This window comes from Homo sapiens, chromosome 2 (genome assembly GCF_000001405.40).
Source record: "Homo sapiens chromosome 2, GRCh38.p14 Primary Assembly".
Lineage (NCBI taxonomy): Eukaryota > Metazoa > Chordata > Mammalia > Primates > Hominidae > Homo > Homo sapiens.
In genome coordinates this window covers 32,634,313-32,654,399 of record NC_000002.12, presented here as the reverse complement: position 1 = coordinate 32,654,399, position 20,087 = coordinate 32,634,313, and the positions used below count along the sequence as shown (strand labels likewise).

At 41.8% G+C, this 20,087-nt stretch overlaps 1 protein-coding gene and 1 non-coding gene across 6 annotated transcripts in view; both read right to left on the bottom strand.

Annotated features, from left to right (window-relative positions):
* Nucleotides 1-20,087, bottom strand: part of TTC27 (tetratricopeptide repeat domain 27) — a 193,002-nt gene that overhangs the window by 166,652 nt on the left and 6,263 nt on the right. For all 5 annotated transcript variants that reach the window (NM_017735.5, XM_011532958.3, XM_005264416.3 and 2 more), the window contains exons 4-5: nt 13,990-14,130; nt 4,167-4,269 (exon numbers count right to left, since the gene is read on the bottom strand). In NM_017735.5, coding sequence (NP_060205.3) covers nt 4,167-4,269; nt 13,990-14,130 — 244 coding nt within the window. The remainder of the gene's footprint in view (nt 1-4,166; nt 4,270-13,989; nt 14,131-20,087) is intronic.
* MIR4765 (microRNA 4765) lies at nt 19,069-19,145 on the bottom strand. The gene has a single exon (NR_039922.1). It is a non-coding gene; the product is annotated as a microRNA 4765 (primary transcript).

The window sequence follows — 20,087 nt, the reverse complement described above, 5'->3', positions numbered from 1 at the left end:
GTTTTTTAAAAGGCACACTATATCCACTACTATACCATCTTTGGCTCTACCTCATAGTTGTTAGGAATAAGCTAGTTAATATAATTAAAGACTTCAAAGACTGCTTGATGTGGTGTATACACTATAGAAATGTTAGCTGCATTATCATTAGTTACTAGAATTCTGCCTTACTGACCAGCTTGCAAAAAGCAAGGGAAAGTGTCAGCAGGACTTGGAGTCAGAAACGCCACATCATTGTGCTGGTTCTTGGGCAACTTCTGTAAGTCTCAATTCTTCGTAAAATGATTTAACTAGACAAGATTATCTCTAAAGGGCCTTTCCAAACTAAAGATTTCAGATTAGGATAAAAGCTGTAGATATGGAAAAGACAGATCAATATGGGACCCTTGGGGAAGAACTGGTAAGATTTAAGAACTGGCTAGAAACGCAGAATGGTGGAAAGCAATGAGTCAACAATGGAAGCAAAGTTTTGAGCTTTGAAGATAGATAACTCAAGGTTTACATTAGGCATATATTATTATTTTAATAAATCAGGAGGTTCTCCCTGGAAATGAATATTTGTGACCTTCTGGATCAAAATGTCACCCACACTTAAAATGTATGCTAAAACCAAAATCTCTTCTCACGAGATTATTTAAATGCTATGCTAAAATGAAATCCTTAATGGACAATTATAATTACAGACAATGACATTTAGTACATTCAATAACATTTATTCCAAAGTATCAAATTTATGAAAAGAAATCAACGTACGCACGTATGCATCAGTCACCAAAAGACTGTTTTTTTTTTGTTTTTTTTTTTTTGAGATGGAGTCTCACTCTGTCATCCAGGCTGTAGTGCAGTGGTGTAATCTCGGCTCACTGTAACCTCTACCTCCCAGGTTCAAGAGATTCTCCTACCTCAACCTCCTGAGTAGCTGGGATTACAGGCACACACCACAATGTCCGGCTAATTTTTATGTTTTTAGTAGAGACAGGGTTTCACCATGTTGGCCAGGCTGGTCTTGAACTCTTGACCTCAGGTGATCCACTGCGTCAGCCTCCCAAAGTGCTGGGATTACAGGCATGAGCCACCGTGGAGACTGTTTTTTTGAACACTCTTTCAACGTGGAAACAACCTAATCCCAGAGTCACAGAGCTGCCTGAAATGTCACAGCAGGACTTGATGACAAAGTATTTTAACCCAGTTTCTCTTAGCGACTTCATGAGGTCTTCTTCAAACAGCTAAAGTGCAATATTACATCTCATGCACTATACATAACATGTTTTCAGCACTGGATGCCATGATCAATTGTTGTATGCCCTGAATAGTCTTTAGAGAAGCATGCTTTCATTTAGTGTGACATCCAAAAGAATGCTTTAGATTGTACTGAGGAATAGATTCTGACCTACTCCTATTATAGATGTAATCAGCCCAGCAAAGTTATGTTGACATTTTGATAGACTCCATTCCACTGTATTATACTGGTGTAACACGCCTGGACAAAAACCTAAATATCATAGTTGTTCATAAAATCCTTTGCCTATGTTTCATAGAACGAAAAAAAAAATCCTGCCAACTTTCTGATGATCCTTCAAGGGCAACATTTCAAATATAATACCCTTCTCTGGACGCTGAATCGTATTTCAGTTATTACATTTGGATCAAATCCCAGAACAAAACATTTTAAAAATGAAATCATGCATGAAAAGTTATAATTCAGCACTATCTACGAATCTATTTAGACCTAGCCAAAATGGACCATTTTATGACTAGATAAACTGAAAAGTGCCGTTGATTAGCCTAGAACAGCAACATAAAAAATTCTTAGTTGCAAGGTAAAGCAAATGACATGCTGAAATATAATATAGAAAAGAACTGAGACCTCTTTGGGAATGAGTCACTTAGAGTCACATTTTCCAGCTATCTTAGTTTCTGGTTTGGAACTTAATTTTAACTCATAAAATAGAATCCTCTCCAAAATATACCATATGGTTCCTACCTTTTATTTTATTTTATTTTTATTTATTTATTTATATATTTTTTTGAGATGGAGTCTTGCCCTGTCGCCCAGGCCAGAGTGCAATGACGCGATCTCAGCTCACTGCAACCTCCGCCTCCTGGGTTCACACCATTCTCCTGCCTCAGCCTCCTGAGTAGCTGAGATTACAGGTGCCCACCACCATGCCCAGCTAATTTTTGTATTTTAGTACAGACAGGGTTTCACCATGTTGGCCAGACTGGTCTCGAACTCCTGACCTCGTGATCTACCTGCCTCGACCTCCCAAAGTGCTGGGATTACAGGCATGAGCCAACGCGCCTGGCCCGGCTCCTACCTTTTAAAAAGATACATAAGCATACAAGGATATTGGTATGAGAGGGTCAGGTTCCAGAACCAATCCCCCTTGGATACCAAGGGATGACTTACAATGTTTATGCTCACATCTAACAGGCCCCCTGCTAGACCCCCAGGCTTATGTTACCTAAAAATGTTGAAAGAATATAAACTAAGTCCTGGAACAAACAACATAAATGAATCAATTATTATACTGATTGAATAATACTTTCATTATTATCTCTATTTGAATTATGTATAGATGGTCATTTTATCTAAGATTAGCATATGTTTATGTATTTCTGTCCTAGAATAAAATAAAAACTGAGAAATTAGTTTCAACCACTCACCTGGCTTAGGAATATTTATGACTAAACAAGCTATAGTCCTCTCCACTGTATTCTGGCCTAGCTTGTTACTGTAAAAACTCTTGAAGGACGCCGGGCGCAGTGGCTCGAGCCTGTAATCCCAACACTCTGGGAGGCCAAGGCGGGCTGATACCTGAGGTCGGGAGTTCAAGACAAGCCTGACCAACATGGAGAAACCCCATGTCTACTAAAAATACAAAATTAGCCAGGCGTGGTGGCACATGCCTGTAATCCCAGCTACTCAGGAGGCTGAGGCAGGAGAATTGTTTGAACCCGGGAGGCGGAGGTTGCAGTGAGCCGAGATTGCGCCATTGCACTCCAGCCTGGATGACAGAGTGAAACTCTGTCTCAAAAATAACTCTTGAAGGAAACAGACCCCCAAAAGGTACAAGAGCCCCTTATATTATACATGCACACACATGAGAGTTATGTTATACCTTCATGAATGTGCTACCTCCATCAAGTACAGATCACTTTTCTCCACATAGAATGATGCTAACTACCACTCCTCATGTCCCTTGGACACACACATACATATTCATTCCATACTGTTGGATCTGAAAGGAGTCTGGGCTTTGGAACCAGACACAGCTAAAATCAAATCCCGTCTCTGTAACTCAAAAACTCATGGTCAAGTCCAAGTTCATTTACGTTCACATATTCCTTCACCACAAGAGAATCTGTTTTTGTTTTTGTTTTGTGTGGCAACTTTTGCCAAAAAAAAAATCCCCAAAACCAGGAAGACTGGAAACCAAGTATTAAGGCACCTAAGATTCTCCTCTTTTCCAAAGTCTTTCCCTAGGATACAGGAGGAATATCTGCAACAAAGGCAGCAGGAGGCACTTACATGGATGTTTGGCTTATAATTATTTGGCAAATTTTTCATTTAGGTTTTAGGTATTTTTCTGCATGTATATTATATGTTACAAAAAATACTAATAAAATGAAATGCAAAATAGCCTCCCTACCCATTGTTAACTTCAGTGAAACTTATTTTCTATCAACTGTTTTCTTACGCTTTTCTTGATGTACTCAATAGGATATAGGATAATTTCTTATTCTTTGTGTAATTTAACATAATTTACTCCAGCTCAAGTTAGTTAAGGACTTTTTTTAAAAAAAGAACTAAGGAGAGTACATCTGTTTCCAATGAGGCTTCTTAAAGAACAGAGAAAATATTAAAATATCTTTAAACAATTTGAGATAAAATCATGGTGACCTACATAGAGCAAATCACCCTAAGTAGGTTAAGTAAGTGAAAGTAGTTATCTTTTTTAAACTAAAAAGACTAAAAGGAACTCTATAATCTGACAACATAACAACTTGTGATATTCTACACCAAAAAAAAAAAAAAAAAAAAAGAAACAACTCAAAACGAAAAGGCACTACTACCGGACAAAAAATAAACTAAAAAGGAGTATCTCAGCCAAGTAATTAGAACTGAGCTACATGCCCATATCAAACAAAAATCTGCTACATACCTTGATCAATACAGTTTTCGGCAAGAGTAAAAAGCAGAGGTGAGCGTTCCTCAAGCAAATGCTGATGAATATTCACACATCTCAAAGTCCACCATGGCAAGCTCTAGGAAAAAACACCACGTAAGCTGAAATAAAAGGATACTTTAGAAAACTCTTTTTACATTAACTGAGATTTTTAGAATTTTTTTACATTCATAAAATTAAATTTATTCCTCAATAAGATTACCCATCCACTACTCTCTTCAGTAATAATACCAAAACCCACATCTGTGTCTTCCATAAGAATAACACCTCACCTCCATCCTCTCAAACCTGTATTTTTTTTTTAGCCACTTGGACTTCCTTATGCCATTTTGAACTTACCAACTCCTCCTTTAAAATATATGTTGTGGCCGGGTGCGATGGCTCACACCTGTAATCCCAACACTTTGGGAGGCCGAGGCGGGCAGATCACAAGGTCAGGAGTTCAAGACCAGCCTGGCCAACATGGTGAAACCCTGCCTCTATTAAAAATATAAAAATTAGCTGGGCGTGGTGGCAGGCGCCTGTAGTCCCAGCTACTCGGGAGACTTGAGGCAGGAGAATTGCTTAAACCTGGGAGGCAGAGGTTGCAGTGAGCCGAGGATGCACCATTGCACTCTAGCCTGGGCAACACAGCGAGACCCTGTCTCAAAAAAAAAAAAAAAAATGTTGTATTCATCCTGCTCTGTGGCACTCTATCACCACTTTAATCCGAGTACCAACTCCTTCAGAGGCCCCACAAGAACCCCCTGTGGGGGTGATTTTTCCATCACCTGAACTTCCAGCACATTATCTGTAATTCCCTTGCAAACACATTCCACTGTATTTTATGTATGTCATCTCAGGTTCCAATGTTGTTCACCGTCTACTACCCAACAAGGTAAGAAATCATGTCTTATTCATCTCTATATCCTCCTCAAAGCAATGTATTTTACATAATCTACACAGTAAGAAATACCTTGGATTCAGATGTTCCCCCAATCTGAGAAGATTGCTTCCACACCTGTATGAAACCTCTTCCTTACAGTCTTCTCCTGCTAGTGTGGCACATACTGATCTTTCACTTCTTTGAACTTCTACACTGTTCCTAGAAGTTGGCATCATATTGGACAGCACCTGTTTTTCAAGTTTATAACTCTATTTGAGCCATACATTTCTGAGGGCAGAAACTGCTTTTTTTTATTTTTTATTTTATTTTTTTGAGGCAAGGTCTGACTCTGTCGCCCAGGCTGGAGTGCAGTGGCATGATCACAGCTCACTGCAGCCTGGACCTCCTCAGGCTCACGTGATCCTCCCACTTCAGCTTCCTGAGTTGCTAGGACTACTGGCCATGTCACCATGCCCAGCTAATTTTTGTATTTTTTGGTAGAGATGGGGTTTTGCCATGTTGCCCAGGTTGGTCTCCAACTCCTGGGCTCAAGTGATCCACCCACCTTGGCCTCCCAAAGTGCTGGGATTACAGATGTGAGGCACTGCACCCAGTAGGAAACTGGATTTTAGACATTGTCTTGACTAATGCACAAGCTGAGCATATAGTAGCTTTTTCTTTTATTCGCTGATGCTTTTTCTTACTTGATCAACATATATTTACTTAAAAAAAATAAAAACAAGGAACAACAAGCCAATATAAAAGTATGGCCAGGTATGGTACCTCACACCTATAATCCCAGCTACTCAGGAGGCTGAAATGAGAAGATCACTCGAGGCTAGGAGTTTGAGACCAGGTGGGCAACACTGTAAGACTAAGTCTGTTTTAAAAAAAAAAAAAAAAAAAAAGGGGGGGTGCCAGGTGCAGTGGTTCACACCTGTAGTCCTAGCACTATGGGAGGCCGAGGTGGGGCTGATCACCTGAGGTCAGGAGTTCAAGAGCAGCCTGGCTAACATGATGAAACCCGGTTCCTACTAAAAATACGAAAAATTAGCCAGGTGTGGTGGCATGCGCCTGTAATCCCAGCTACTCGGGAGGTTGAAGCAGGAGAATCACTTGAACCCAGGAGGCGGAGGTTGCAGTGAGCCAAGATTGCACCACTGCACTCCAGCTTGGGCAACAAGAGTGAAACTCCGTCTCAAAAAAAAAAGTATATACGGTGAAGAGTGAAAATCTCTCTTCCACAGCCCCAATATCATCCTCCTCCAGCGGAAAAAATCAGTGACAAAGGTTTACATTCCTCCAGAGCTTCCTCTATGTATGTGCATGTGTGTATATGTACATGTGTACAAGTTATGATAAGTAATTTTGATAAGCTCATTATAAATTATTTGTAACTATATTACTTTACATTATATTACATGAAAGTCTAACAATTAGTTTTCCTTTTAGTTACCTGCAAATATGAGATGACAATTACCAAAAAGCTTTTTTTTGAGATGGGGTCTCAGTACACTGTCCAGGTTGGAGTGCAGTGGCTATTTACAGGAGTCATCATAGCACACTGCAGCTTTGAACTCCTGGACTCAAGCCATCCTCCTGCCTCAGATTTCTAAGTACCTGGGACGACAGGTATATGCCACAGCACCTGGCTCCAAAGAACTTTTTTGCTTGAACTTAATTTCTTCATTTGACTAAGACGTTCCCTTCTAAACTGCTACACACCATAGCCTGGTTCGCTTCTAAAGTGTTATACACCACAACTACTACAACCGTGATGCAACCACAAATGAATTTTGACTCCATGACAAAATCCTTTCAAATTAATACTGTTTCCTCAGTCCATGTAAGGAAATATAAAATTATCTAATAGCAAAGAAATTTCAGACAGTTTTTAACTGAATTCCCTGAGGTGTTGCGTCATTTTCATTCTTTTCCTATCACTATAGCATGAAGTCAGTTTACATCTCAATTATCTGTCCCTTATCTGCTGTCAGCAATAAGTGAGTCAGGTCTGGCAGCTTATTCTTTTACTTTTCTAGACATGGGAATTTAGATACATCCAGTCAAAAAGATTTCACTTTTAAGAAAACACATAATACAAGGCCAGGCACGGTGGCTCACACTTGCAATCCCAGCACTTTGGGTAGCAGGAAGCTCACTTGAGGCCATAAATTCAAGACCAGCCTGGGCAACACAGAGAGACCCCATTTCTACAAAAATTGTTTTTTAGGTAGCTGAGTGTGGTGGTGCGTATCTGTAAACCTAGCTACTCAGGAGTTTAAGGTTATAGTCAGCTGTGATCACACCACTGTACTCCAGGTTGGGCAACAGAGAAGAGACTCTGACTCTAAAAAAAAAAAAACAAAAAACAAACAAAAAAAAACATATAATATGCTGAACTCTCAAAAATCAGATCTATAAATTAACTCTCAAACCAAAAATCTTTATATGGGGGAGGGAAGAATAAAACAAATATAGAGGCCGGGCGCGGTGGCTCATGCCTGTAATCTCAGCACTTTGGGAGGCTGAGGCAGGCGGATCACAAGGTCAGGAGATCAAGACCTTCCTGGCCAACACAATGAAATCCCATCTCTACTAATAATACAAAAAATTAGCTGGGCGTACTGGTGGGAGCCTGTAGTCCCAGCTACTTGGGGGGCTGAGGCAGGAGAATGGCATGAACCCGGAAGGTGGAGCTTGCAGTGAGCAGAGATCGCGCCACTGCACTCCAGCCTGGGAGACAGACAGAGTGAGAGTCGGTCTCCAAAAAAAAAAAAAAAAAAACCAAATATAGAAAGCATAGCCTATTTTTCTACTAGTCAGTGTAACAGACCTTTTCAGTTTGTCAAGAATTGCTTAATATAAAAATAGAGGGCTGGCACAGTAGCTTATGCCTGTTAATCCCAGCACTTTGGGAAGCCAAGGTAGGAAGATCACTTGAAGCCACGAGTTTCAGACAAGCCTGGGCAATGCAGTGAGATCCCATCTCTACAAAAATAAAACTTAAAAAATTGAGCCAGGCATGGTGGCTCACACCTGTAATCCCAGCACTGTGGGAGGCCAAGGCAGGTGGATCACGAGGTCAGGAGATCGAGACCATCTGGGCTAACATGGTGAAACCCCGTCTCTACTAAAAATGCAAAAAATTAGCTGCACATGGTGGTGGGCGCCTGTAGTCCCAGCTCCTCGGGAGGCTGAGGCAGGAGAATCGCGTGAACCCAGGAGGCAGAGGTTGCAGGGAGCCAAGATTGCACCACTGCACTCCAGCCTGGGCGACAGAGCGAGACTCCATCTCAAAAAAAAAAATTAAAATTGAAAATTGAGGCCGGGCACTGTGGCTCACACCTGTAATCCCAGCACTTTGGGAGGCTGAGGCAAGCAGATCATTGAGGTCAGGAGTTCGAGACCAGCCTGACCAACATGGTGAAAATCCATCTCTCCGAAAAATACAAAAAAAATTAGCCGGGCCTGGTGGTGCATACCTGTAGTCCCAGCTACTTGGGAGGCTGAGGCAGGAGAATCACTTGAACCCGGGAGGCGGAGGTTGCACTGAGCTGAGATCACGCCACTGCACTCCAGCCTGGGCGACAGAGTAAAACTCTGTCTCAAAAAAATAAAAAAAGAAAGAAAAAATTGGGGGGAGGCGGGAGGGATAGCATTAGGAGATATATCTAATGCTAAATGACGAGTTAATGGGTACAGCACACCAACATGGCACATGTATACATATATAACAAACCTGCACATTGTGCACATGTACCCTAAAACTTAAAGCATAATAATAATACAATTTTAAAAAAAGAAACAAAGAAAGAAAAAATTGAGGCATTAATAAAAAAGTGAACTTGAGGTCTTGCTTTAGATAATTTCTAGATTTTATCTCCTGATTATAACACTTATTACAGAATGGTCTGACTGAGAAGTCACAATAGTTTAGAACCTCCCAGACAGCAGGGAGCAGTAGTATACTCACAAGACACCAAATAAATATTTGCCAGTTTATCCCATTTTATAAATGGAAACTGATATTCAGAGAAATTAACTAGCATAAGGTCACATAGCTGTTGATTTCAAAACCAAGACTCATTTTACTCAACCACTTACATAGTACCAATTCTAGTCTATATACTTCACAGATTAGGGGTTGTGGGAAAATCTGCTTCTTCTATAATTTCACAAAAATAATATCATCATAAATAACTTGATACATTTCTTGGAGTCAGGTTACTCAAAAATTAATTTAAAAGGTTAAAATTAACTTGGATAAGTATGTAATGTTTCTTTATTATTTTATCTTAATTCATCAAATCAGCCATTTTTAATAACACCATTAAGAGAAAGATATAAGCCAGGTGCCTATAGTCCTAGCTGCTCAGGAGGCTGGAGCAGGAGGATCACTTGAGCCCACAAGTTGAAGGCCATCCTGGACAACACAGCAAGACAACATCTCCAAAAAAAAAAAAAAAAAAGCAGAAAGGAAGGAAGAAAAGAAGAAAGGAAGGAACGAAGGAAAGGAGGGAGGGAGGGAGGGAGGGAAAAAAGAATGATATAGTAAAGACCCACAGGAAAAATCTATAATAGAAAGAATAATGCTTCAGTTGAATGGCAAGAGAAGCCAGGCAGGATGGTGTGCTCCTGAAGTTCCAGCTACTCAGGAGGCTGAGGTGGGAGGATCACTTGAGGCCAGGAGTTCAAGATCAGCCTGGGCAACACAGTGAGACCCTGTCTCCCATCTCAAAAAAAAGAAAAAGAAAAAGGCAAAATTTCAGCACAAAATGAGGTATACATAGTAATATACTACAGGAAAACAGGTTTTTAAGCAGAAGTCAAAAGTTGTTTACAGCTGCCAAGAAATTAAGGTAACTTGCCTCTGCAACCCTACAAGAATGACATCTACAACTAGTATTCCACATATTTATTAATTCTCCTAAGTTGTTGACAGTATATATATTATTTTTCAAATGATGCTTAACATACTTTTTTTTTTTTTGGAGACAGAGTCTCACTCTGTCGCCTCGGCTGGAGTGCGGTGCGCGATCTTGGCTCACTGCAACCTCCACCTTCCATGTTCAAGCAATATTCCTGCCTCAGCCTCTTGAGTAGCTAGGATTACAGGCATGCACCACCATGCCTGGCTAATTTTTTTTTTTTTTTTTTTTTTGAAACAGAGTCTCGCTGTGTTGCTCAGGCTGGTGTGCAGTGGAACGATCTCGATTCACTGCAAACTCTGCCTCCTGGGTTCAAGCAATTCTCCTGCCTCAGCCTTCCAAGTAGCTGAGATTACAGGCACCCGCCATTACACCCGGCTAACTTTTGTATTTTTAATAGAAACGGGGTTTCACTGTGTTGGCCAGTTTGGTCTCAAACTCCTGACCTCAGGTGATCCACCTGCCTCGACCTCCCAAAAGTGCTAGGATTACAGGCGTGAACCACCATGCCCAGAGATGCCTGGCTAATTTTTGTATTTTTACTAGAGACAGGGTGTCGCCATGTTGGCCAGACTGGTGTCGAACTCCTGACCTCAGGTGATCCGCCAGCCTTGGCCTCCCAAAGTGCTGGTATTACAGGCGAGAGCCACTGCGCCTGGACAATGCTTAATATTCTTGATGAAGAAAACTTTTGAGCAACTTAAAAACCGTCTCACTCATTCATTAGTGACCATAAGTTCTCACTAGAAAGAAAATAATGCCATTAGGCAGCCTCATGGCTTGGTGATACTTTACCTAGAGTAAAGTAGCTGGGCACAGTGGCTCACGCCTGTAATCCTAGCACTTTGGAAGGCCAAGGTGGGTGGATCACTTGAGGTCAGGAGTTTGAGACCAGTTGGCCAACATAGTAAAATCCCATTTCTACTAAAAGTACAAAAAAATTAGCAAGGCATGGTGGCACGTGCCTGTAATCCAAGCTACTAGGGAGGCTGAGGCAGGAGAATCACTTGAACCCAGGAGGCAGAGGTTGTAGTGAGCCGAGATCACACCACTGCACTTCAGCCTGGGCAACAGAGTGAGACTCTGTCTCAAAAAATAAATAAGTAAATAAATAAAACAATAGAGCAAAGTAATCGTCAGTCTTTAAGACCATTTAACTCAGATCAACTTACTTAGGGGAAAAATTTTTTACTCAAGCTACTGTCACTAAGAGCTCAAAAGACGAAGCCTCATATATGCTAAGACATGTTGAAATCCGTGTATTAAAAAACCTTCAATTAGCCAGGCATGGTGGTGCACACCTGTAGTCCCAGCTACTTGGGAGGCTGAGGTGGGAAAATCACTTGAACCTGGGAGGCGTAGATTGCAGTGAGCCAAGATCACACCACTGTACTCCAGCCTGGGCGACAGAGCAAGACGCTGTCTCAAAAACAAAAACCTTTCTAGGCTGGGAATGGTGGCTTATGCCTATAATCTCGGCACTTAGGGGAGATGGAGGCAGGTGAATCACTTGAGCCCACAAGTTCAAGACCAGCCTGAGCAACAAGGTGAAACCCTGTCTCTACAAAAAATGCAAAAATTAGCCGGGTGTGGTGGCGCATGCCTGTAGTACAAGTTACTTGGGAGGCTGAGGTGGGAGGATGGCTTCAGCCCAGGAGGTGGAGGTTGCAGTGAGCTGAGATCATGCCACTGCACTCCAGCCTGGGCAACGGGGCCAGAGCCTGTCTTAAAAAAAAAACAAAACAAACAAACAAACAAAAAACAACCTCTAGTACAATGGCTTCCAAATCCTCTGGCTCTCATGAGAGTTGCAAATAGAGGCACCACTTCCCTTCTAACCTCTTCTTTTAAAACAAATTTAGGCCAGGTGCGGTGGCTCATGCCTGTGATCCCAGCACTTTGGGAGGCCAAGGCAGGCAGGTTACCTGAGGCTAGGAGTTTGAAACCAACACGGCCAACATGGCGAAACCATGTCTCTACTAAAAATACAAAAAATTAGCCAAACGTGGTGGTGGGCGCCTGTAATCCCAGCTACTCAGGAGGCTGAGGCATGAGAATCGCTTGAACCTGTGAGGTGGAGGTTGCAATGAGCCGAGATCACACTACTATACTCCAGTCTGTGTGACAAAGTGAGACTCCATCTCAAAAAAAAAAAAAAAAAAAAAATTTAGTGTATAAACTTAAATGCTTAGGAAAGTAAGCCCTTACACAGCACAGACCAAGTCTACATTGACCTATAGAAATATTGTGATGCTTGGGCCGGGCACAGTGGCTCACACCTGTAATCCCAGCACTTTGGGAGGCTGAGGTAGGCAGATCACCTAAGGTCAGGAGTTCGAGACCAGCCTGACCAATGTGGAGAAATCCCATCTCTACTAAAAATACAAAAGATGAGCCATGCATCGTGGCAGCCGCCTGTAGTCCCAGCTACTTGGGAGGCTGAGGCAGGAGAATGGTGTGAACCCAGGAGGTGGAGCTTGCAGTGAGTCAAGATCACGCCACTGCACTCCAGCCTGGGCTACAGAGCGAGACTCTGTCTCAAAAAAATAAATAAATAAAAATACAAAATTAGCCAGACATGGTGACGCATGCCTGTAATCCCAGCTACTTGGGAGGCTGAGGCAGAAGAATTGCTTGAACCCAGGAGGTGGAGGTTGTGGTGAGCCGAGATCGCGCCATTGCACTCCAGCCTGGGCAACAAGAGTGAAACTCCATCTCGAAAAAAAAAAGAAAGAACTATTGCATTTCTTAAAAATTTTCAGCCAAAACTGGGAGATTTCACATAAAATTTAGATGTACTATTTCTGACACTATGGGGTCTGCAGCACACCAGGTTGCAACAATCAGATGGAGCAGGGGTCAGCCAGGCACAGCCTGTGCGCAAATCCAGCCCACTACTGGTTTCCGTATAGTCCAAGAACTGAAAATCGTTTTTACATTTTTATATCACTGGGAAAAATCAAGAATAATATTTTGTGAATGTGAGAAGTATAGAAAATGTAAGTTTCAGTGTCCACAAATAAAGCTTTATTGGAAGACAGTCATGTCCATTTAATGAAACATTGTCTACAGCTGCTCTAACACTACAATGCAGCAGAGTTGAATAGCGCAACACAGACTGCACACTGCGTGGCTGACAACCTCCACTAAACCTCCAAAGACTGTCTTTTCTTTCTGCATATTAGCATTCTGTGTGTATATTTGTCCTCACTAGTTTATATGAAGAAACCATATAATAGATATTTAACAAATGCTTTACTAAATCCAACCCAAATAATGACATAACATAGAATGTGAGCCAGAAAACAGAAATTAAGACCCATTAAATTTTGGTCACTGCTCATTATCCTACATGAAATTCATAAAAGACTGTGAGGTATATCTTTTTTTGTTTTGTTTTTGTTGTTGTTGTTGTTGTTTTGTTTTGTTTTTGAGACACAGTCTTGTTCTCTTGCCCAGGCTGGAGTGCAATGGCGCAATCACGGCTCACTGCAACCTCCACCTCCCAGGTTCAAGCAATTCTCCTGCCTCAGCCTCCCAAGTAGCTGGGATTACAGGTGCACGCCACTGCGCCCAGCTAATTTTGTATTTTTAGTAGAGATGGGGTTTCACCATGTTAGCCAGGCTGGTCTCGAACTCCTGACCTCAGGTGACCCGTCCACCTCAGCCTCTCAAAGTGCTGGGATTACAGACGTGAGCCACCATGCCCAGCCCAAGGTATATTTTTAAATCGATATTTAAGATTTCTGCAAATGAACATTTATATCTACACAGTACACACATAAATCCTATTAAGGAGGTGCAACATAATCTCATTCTAAACTAGATCAATCTCATGAGGGAAGAAAAGTTTTTGCTTATTTTCATCAGATTTTTAAATTACATACCTAGAAGACTTAGAAAACAAAATAGACCAAGACATTGTCAGCAACACATCTACAGCCTGGTGTTAATAAGCACAAAAGTCATACCAGGGTATGAATCTCATGGATCCTTTCCTTACCTGAATAGCTGTCAGTTTATGTCTTACATTCACTAGGATAATGCGTGCTAATAACAGTAGTATAGGCTTCGAGGTCAGGCTGTAGATTGATTCACCATCTAGAGTGAGCAGGCTCAGAACAAATGCATCCAGTCCTTTAACCTGAAAAAAGGATTATAAACTAAGATGATATAATTTAACAAAATATTAATCTTTATATGTCTTGTAATAATACAAAGATTTTCCAGTCAACTCAGCTTTGAAACAAAAGCATTAATATATTACACAGCAATTGGCACTGGACAGAATTATAACACTGCAAATGCCCTTAGACATCTATAAATCCAGCCTGCCCTGATGGATGGCCACCCATCTGATCAAACTTGATTTTTTGGGTTTTTGGTGTTTTGTTTTTGTTTTTGTTTTTGTTTTGAGATGGGAGTCTCACTCTGTTGCCCAGGCTGGAGTGCAGTGGCGTGATCTTGGCTCACTGCAACTTCCATCTCCCGGGCTCAAGTGATCCTCCTGCCTGGGCGAATAGCTGGGACTCCAGGCACGCACCACCACATCCAGCTAAGTTTTTGTATTTTAAGTAGAGATGGGGTTTCACCATGTTGGCCAGGTTGGTCTCGAATTCCTGACCTTAAGTGATCCCCTGCCTTGGTCTCCCAAAGTGCTGGGATTACAGGTGAAAGCTTCTGCGCCTGGCATGTTCAAACTTTAGAGAAACAAGGAACTCAAAAAAAATGCTAGCATTGAAGAGATATCATCACTTCATAAATTCACTTACAACAAAATATTATCTCAATGAAAAGCATCCCTATATTAAAGTATTTATAGTAAATAGTGTATTTGATATTTATATTAAACACCTACATTTCACTTAAGCTTCAATACCTGGAAAATGTCATTATGAAGTAAGTCTCTACTCCATAATTTCTATCAAGCCAAACAATCAACAAGGTCTCATGCATCAAATGCAGAATGGGCATATGACCACACACCAGAGTGAGCAGAAGGCTGAAAAAAAAAAGGATGCCTTTGAAAAATGCACTCTCCTGTTGTACAGAGATTTTTTTACAATGGACAAGGTTGTTAAAATTTGGATGGCAGAATTTTAACAGCTCCATACAATAGCGAGCAAGAATCTTCACCCATCAGGAACATGGGTTCCAATGTCACATGCACAGGACAGTGTCCTTTCTCTGCTTCTCATTAGTTTGTGAGCACATGTAAATTTTTCCCACAATTGTTTTCCTGATGAAGCCTCAGTTTCATCAATTATGAAATGAAATAACTGGGCCGGGCACGGTGGCTCACATCTGTAATCCCAGCACTTTGGGAGGCCAAGGCGGGCGGATCACGAGGTCAGGAGATCAAGACCATCCTGGCTAACACGGTGAAACCCTGTCTCTATTAAAACTACAAAAAATTAGCCGGGCGTGGTGGTGGGTGCCTGTAGTCCCAGCTACTTGGGAGGCTGAGGCAGGAGAATGTTGTGAACCCAGGAGGTGGAGCTTGCAGTGAGCCCAGATTGTGCCACTGCACTCCAGCCTGGGTGACAGAGCAAGACTCCGTATCAAAAAAAAAATGAAATAACTGAACCTATACCTCAGAGGGTTCTTGTAAGGATTAAACTAAACAATCCAAGTAATGCCACTCCCTGGCTCAATACTGAGTATTTTGAATACTAAATATTTGAATACTGAATATTTTGAATATTGTTTAAAGTATTCAATAGAAGAAAGAAGGAGGGCCGGGCACAGTGGCTCATGCCTGTAATCCCAGCACTCTGGAAGGCCACGCGGGTGGATCACCTGAGGTCAGGAGTTCGAGAACAGCCTGGCCAACATGGTGAAACCCCATCTCTACTAAAAATACAAAAATTAGCCGGGCATAGTGGCACATGCCTGTAATCCCAGCTACTCAGGAGGCTGAAGCAGGAGAATCGCTTGAACCTGGGAGGCGGAGGTTACAGTGAGCCGTGATCATGCTACTGCACTCCAGCCGGGGCGACAGAGCGAGACTGCCTTAGAAAAAAATAAAAAACAATAAATAAAAGAGAAAGAAGGAAATAACTGTGAGTTCATCCTCTGTCCTATTTTCATCATCATTCAAGAGTGTAATAGAGGAATAAAGATTTAATATGAATTACCTCCACAACCACAAAGCCTACTGTTATCTCTGCTAAGCATACAAGGAATTATTTAAAAAAAAAACTTCAATAATTAATGAAATATTATCAAGTTTTTACAACTGCCTCAATTTTAGAGGTGAGGAAACAGATCCATAAAAATTAAGTGAAGCCCATGTTTCCAATTCCCAAATCAATTCCCAAACCAGCCCACGCTGGTAGAAAGAACATTGGTTTGGGAACTGGAAACAGATCTCTCTACCTCTTCCTGCCCCTCAGGAAGGGCTAGGGCTATGCTAAGCATTTGGAGAGCCTCAAGGACATGGCCAGGATGACTTTTAGCCTTCTGACTGGCACTACACCATGGTGGCGTGTGTAACTGAAATACAGACACAAAAAGAGAAGACCTTCATCATGAGTTCAGTCTTGGACATGATGAGGAAATGAGGTATTCTGTGAGAACCCCAACTGGAGGTACTGAATGTACAGTGAATATACTGACTTGAGAACTCAGAAGAACCTGCCTAAAGTGCCCAAACTAGACCTGCAGCCTCATCGGATCATGTTGTAAATTCAAGTAGATATAACAAGCTGATTTCCTAAAGCCCAAGCCAAACTGGTAAAGCACAAGAAGATAATAAGGAATGTCTTTAAGAAAGAGAATCCTGGCCAGGCCCGGTGGCTCACACCTGGAATCTCAGCACTTTGGGAGGCTGAGGCAGGCAGATCATAAGGTCAAGAGCTTGAGAGCAGCCTGGCCAATAAGGTGAAACCCCGTCTCTATTAAAAAATACAAAAATTAGCCAGGCACGGTGGCGGGCGCCTGTAGTCCCAGCTACTCAGGAGGCTGAGGCAGGAGAATCACTTGAACCCGGGAGGCGGAGGTTGCAGTGAGCTGAGATTGCGCCACTGCACTCCAGCCTGGGCAACACAGTGAGACTCCGTCTGAAAAAAAAAAAGAAAGAAAAAGAAAAAGAATCCTTCTCCTAATCACTCTGAGACAAGAAATATGTCTGCCTGTTCTACCACAAATTTCAGGTCATTATCTTCTACATGAATCCCTAAATATAAAGAACAAACAAGTAATTTAACATAGCAACAAATAAAAATTATACAGGGAGACAGCACATGGTATACTATCTGGAGAGCATTACCTGTGACACTCAAGCTAGGTTGTGAGTACAAAGGAGATTTATTATTTAAATTGTATACATTTCATATGCTCTTTTAAGTGTTGGCAGTAGTTCCAATAAAAAAGTTAAAATCAAAGACTTAGTCAAAGTTTCCTACAACTCCAAATGACCTCCATCAAGTGATTTTTCACTGCTAAAAGAGGCAAGTTCAAAGCATCCTTTTCCCACAAACACTATGCTGTCCTCTCCTCTAAATTCCTGCTCATATGACTGCACCTAGAATGGATATTTTCCTCTTCTCTATCCATTTTCTAACCATCCTTCAGGTTCTAGCTCAAGGTCCACTTCCAACTAAAAGGTCTTCTTTGACAAAATCCAGCTTCCACAAATCTCTTTGTTAATGGCAATATTTCTTATGGTCTGAACTTCTCATGAAACTCATTTCCATATTGTTTTGATTTGCTACCTGAATTTACAGGTGCTTCTACACTAGTATAGAAGAGTACTGGATTTGGAACCAGAAAATGTGGATTCCAATGCCCCAGCTACAGATCTCTGACAAGATTCTTTTACCACTCTGAGCTTCAGTCTTTTCACCTATAGATTACCTCAAATCTGTAAGGACCAAATTGGCACAAGAAATGTGAATTAAGGCCAGGCGCAGTGGCTCACACCATAATCCTAACACTTTGGGAGGCCGAGGCGGGTGGATCACCTGAGGTCAGGAGTTTGAGACCACCCTGGCCAACATGGTGAAACCCCGTCTCTACTAAAAATACAAAAATTAGCCGGGCGTGGTGGTGAGCACCTGTAGTCCCAGCTGCTTGGGAGGCTGAGGTGGGAGAATCATTTGAACCCGGGAGGCAGAGACTGCAGTGAGCCGAGATCGCACCACTGCACTCCAGCCTGGGCGACAGAGTGAGACTCCGTCTCAAAACAAAAAAAAAGAAATGCGAATTAAGTACCATTCAAACCACACATCAGTGTTCAGGAGATATTTATGGCTTTGGCTGTTTGGTGGATTTCTAATCTATACTATAGGGCCATAGAAGCCAGAAACTGATTCATACATAATAAGAGAGGGAATGAGATGTTTCCTAAGTACATTTCTAGATAACTGAAGCTTATCTCTTTAACTGCTACAATCATTTAGGGTTTGGGGTTTTTTTACTCCCATTTTGGATGAAAACCTCTGTAGAATATAAATTATAAATTCCCTTCATAGACATAAGACACAAAACATCTTTTAACCTTTCAGTTATAATTAGGATCAGCATTATGGATTAAAATTACTCTAATGAAGTATATATAGTGACTCACTAAGCTGATATGCAAAGAGTTAATTATTGTGGTTTTCACTTTATGCTTGTTTTTGCACTTCTTCTCTTTCTACCCCCCCATCAAATTATTAACACATATCTCTAATAACTCTATTCCACATTTACTTGCTACACCCAATTCTTTTTCTTTTTTCTTTTTTTGAAATGGAGTCTCACTCTGTCACCCAGGCTGGAGTGCAGTGGCGTGATCTTGGCTCACTGCAACCTCCGCCTCCCGGGTTCAAGCAATTGTCCTGCCTCAGCCTCCTGAGTAGCTGGGATTACAAGCGTGCACCACCACACCCGGCTAATTTTTGTATTTTTAGTAAGACGGAGTTTCACCATGTTGATCAGGCTGGTCTTGAACTCCTGACCTCGTGAACCGCCCGCCTTGGCCTTCCAAAGTGCTGGGATTACAGGCATGAGCCACTGTGCCCGGCCTACTTGCTACACCTAATTCTGAGAAACCAGGTAACACTAGGTCTGTTTTGCTGCACGAGTTCTGGATACAATTTGGTGATTTTGAACATAGCTATCAATCACTCAGCTTTTTCCAGGCTGAGTGGTGGATAGCTACGTTCAAAATCACCAAAGTGGCTGGATAAATCAAAGTTCTTACTTTGATTTAAACCATACTTCTTTTGTAGATCATCTCATACTAGCCAGACCCTCTATATAGGAGCTCAAGATTCCTGAGGAACTCAAACTGCAAGCTCTATTGGCGACACACTGGCACAGATCGATAATATTATCTTCACAATGGATAATAATCACCATGAAGCAATGCTGTGCCAGAAACTTTAATAAAGTATTTGTAATTTAAAGCCACCCCTGGGAGCAAACCACTCCTGGGAGCCATTCTTAAGTACAGTATCAAAACTTACCTGCAAGCCGGGAATGGTGGCTCACGCCTGTAAACCCAGCACTTTGGGAGGCTGAGGTGGGAGGATCACTTAAGGTCAGGAGTTTGGGACCAGCCTGGCCAACATGGAGAAACCCCACATCTAGTAAAAATACAAAAATTAGCCAAGTGTGGTAGCACACGCCTGTAATCCCAGCTACTAGGGAGGCTGAAGCAGAAGAATTGCTTGAACCCATGGGGCAGAGGTTGCAGTGAGCTGAGATCGCGCCATTGTACTCCAGCCTGGGTGACAGAGCAAGACTCTGTCTCAAAAAAAATTAATTAATTAATTAGTTAAAAACTTACCTGAAATAAAATTAAACAGATTTCCAGATTTGCTGCTTTGCCATTAAAGATCTTTATGTACAGCGCTCACACCTATAATCCTAGCACTTTGGGAGGCTGAGGCAGGCAGACCACTTGAGCCCAGGAGTTTCAGACCAGCCTGGGCAACATGGCAAAACTCCATCTCTACAAAAAAATTAGCTGGACATGTTGGCATGCAACTGTAGTCCCAACTACTTGGGAGGCTGAGGTGGGAAGATCGCCTGAGCCTGAGTAGGTTGAGGGTGCAGTGAGCTGTAATCCAGCCACTGTACAACAGCCTGGATGACTGAGTGAGATACCATCTC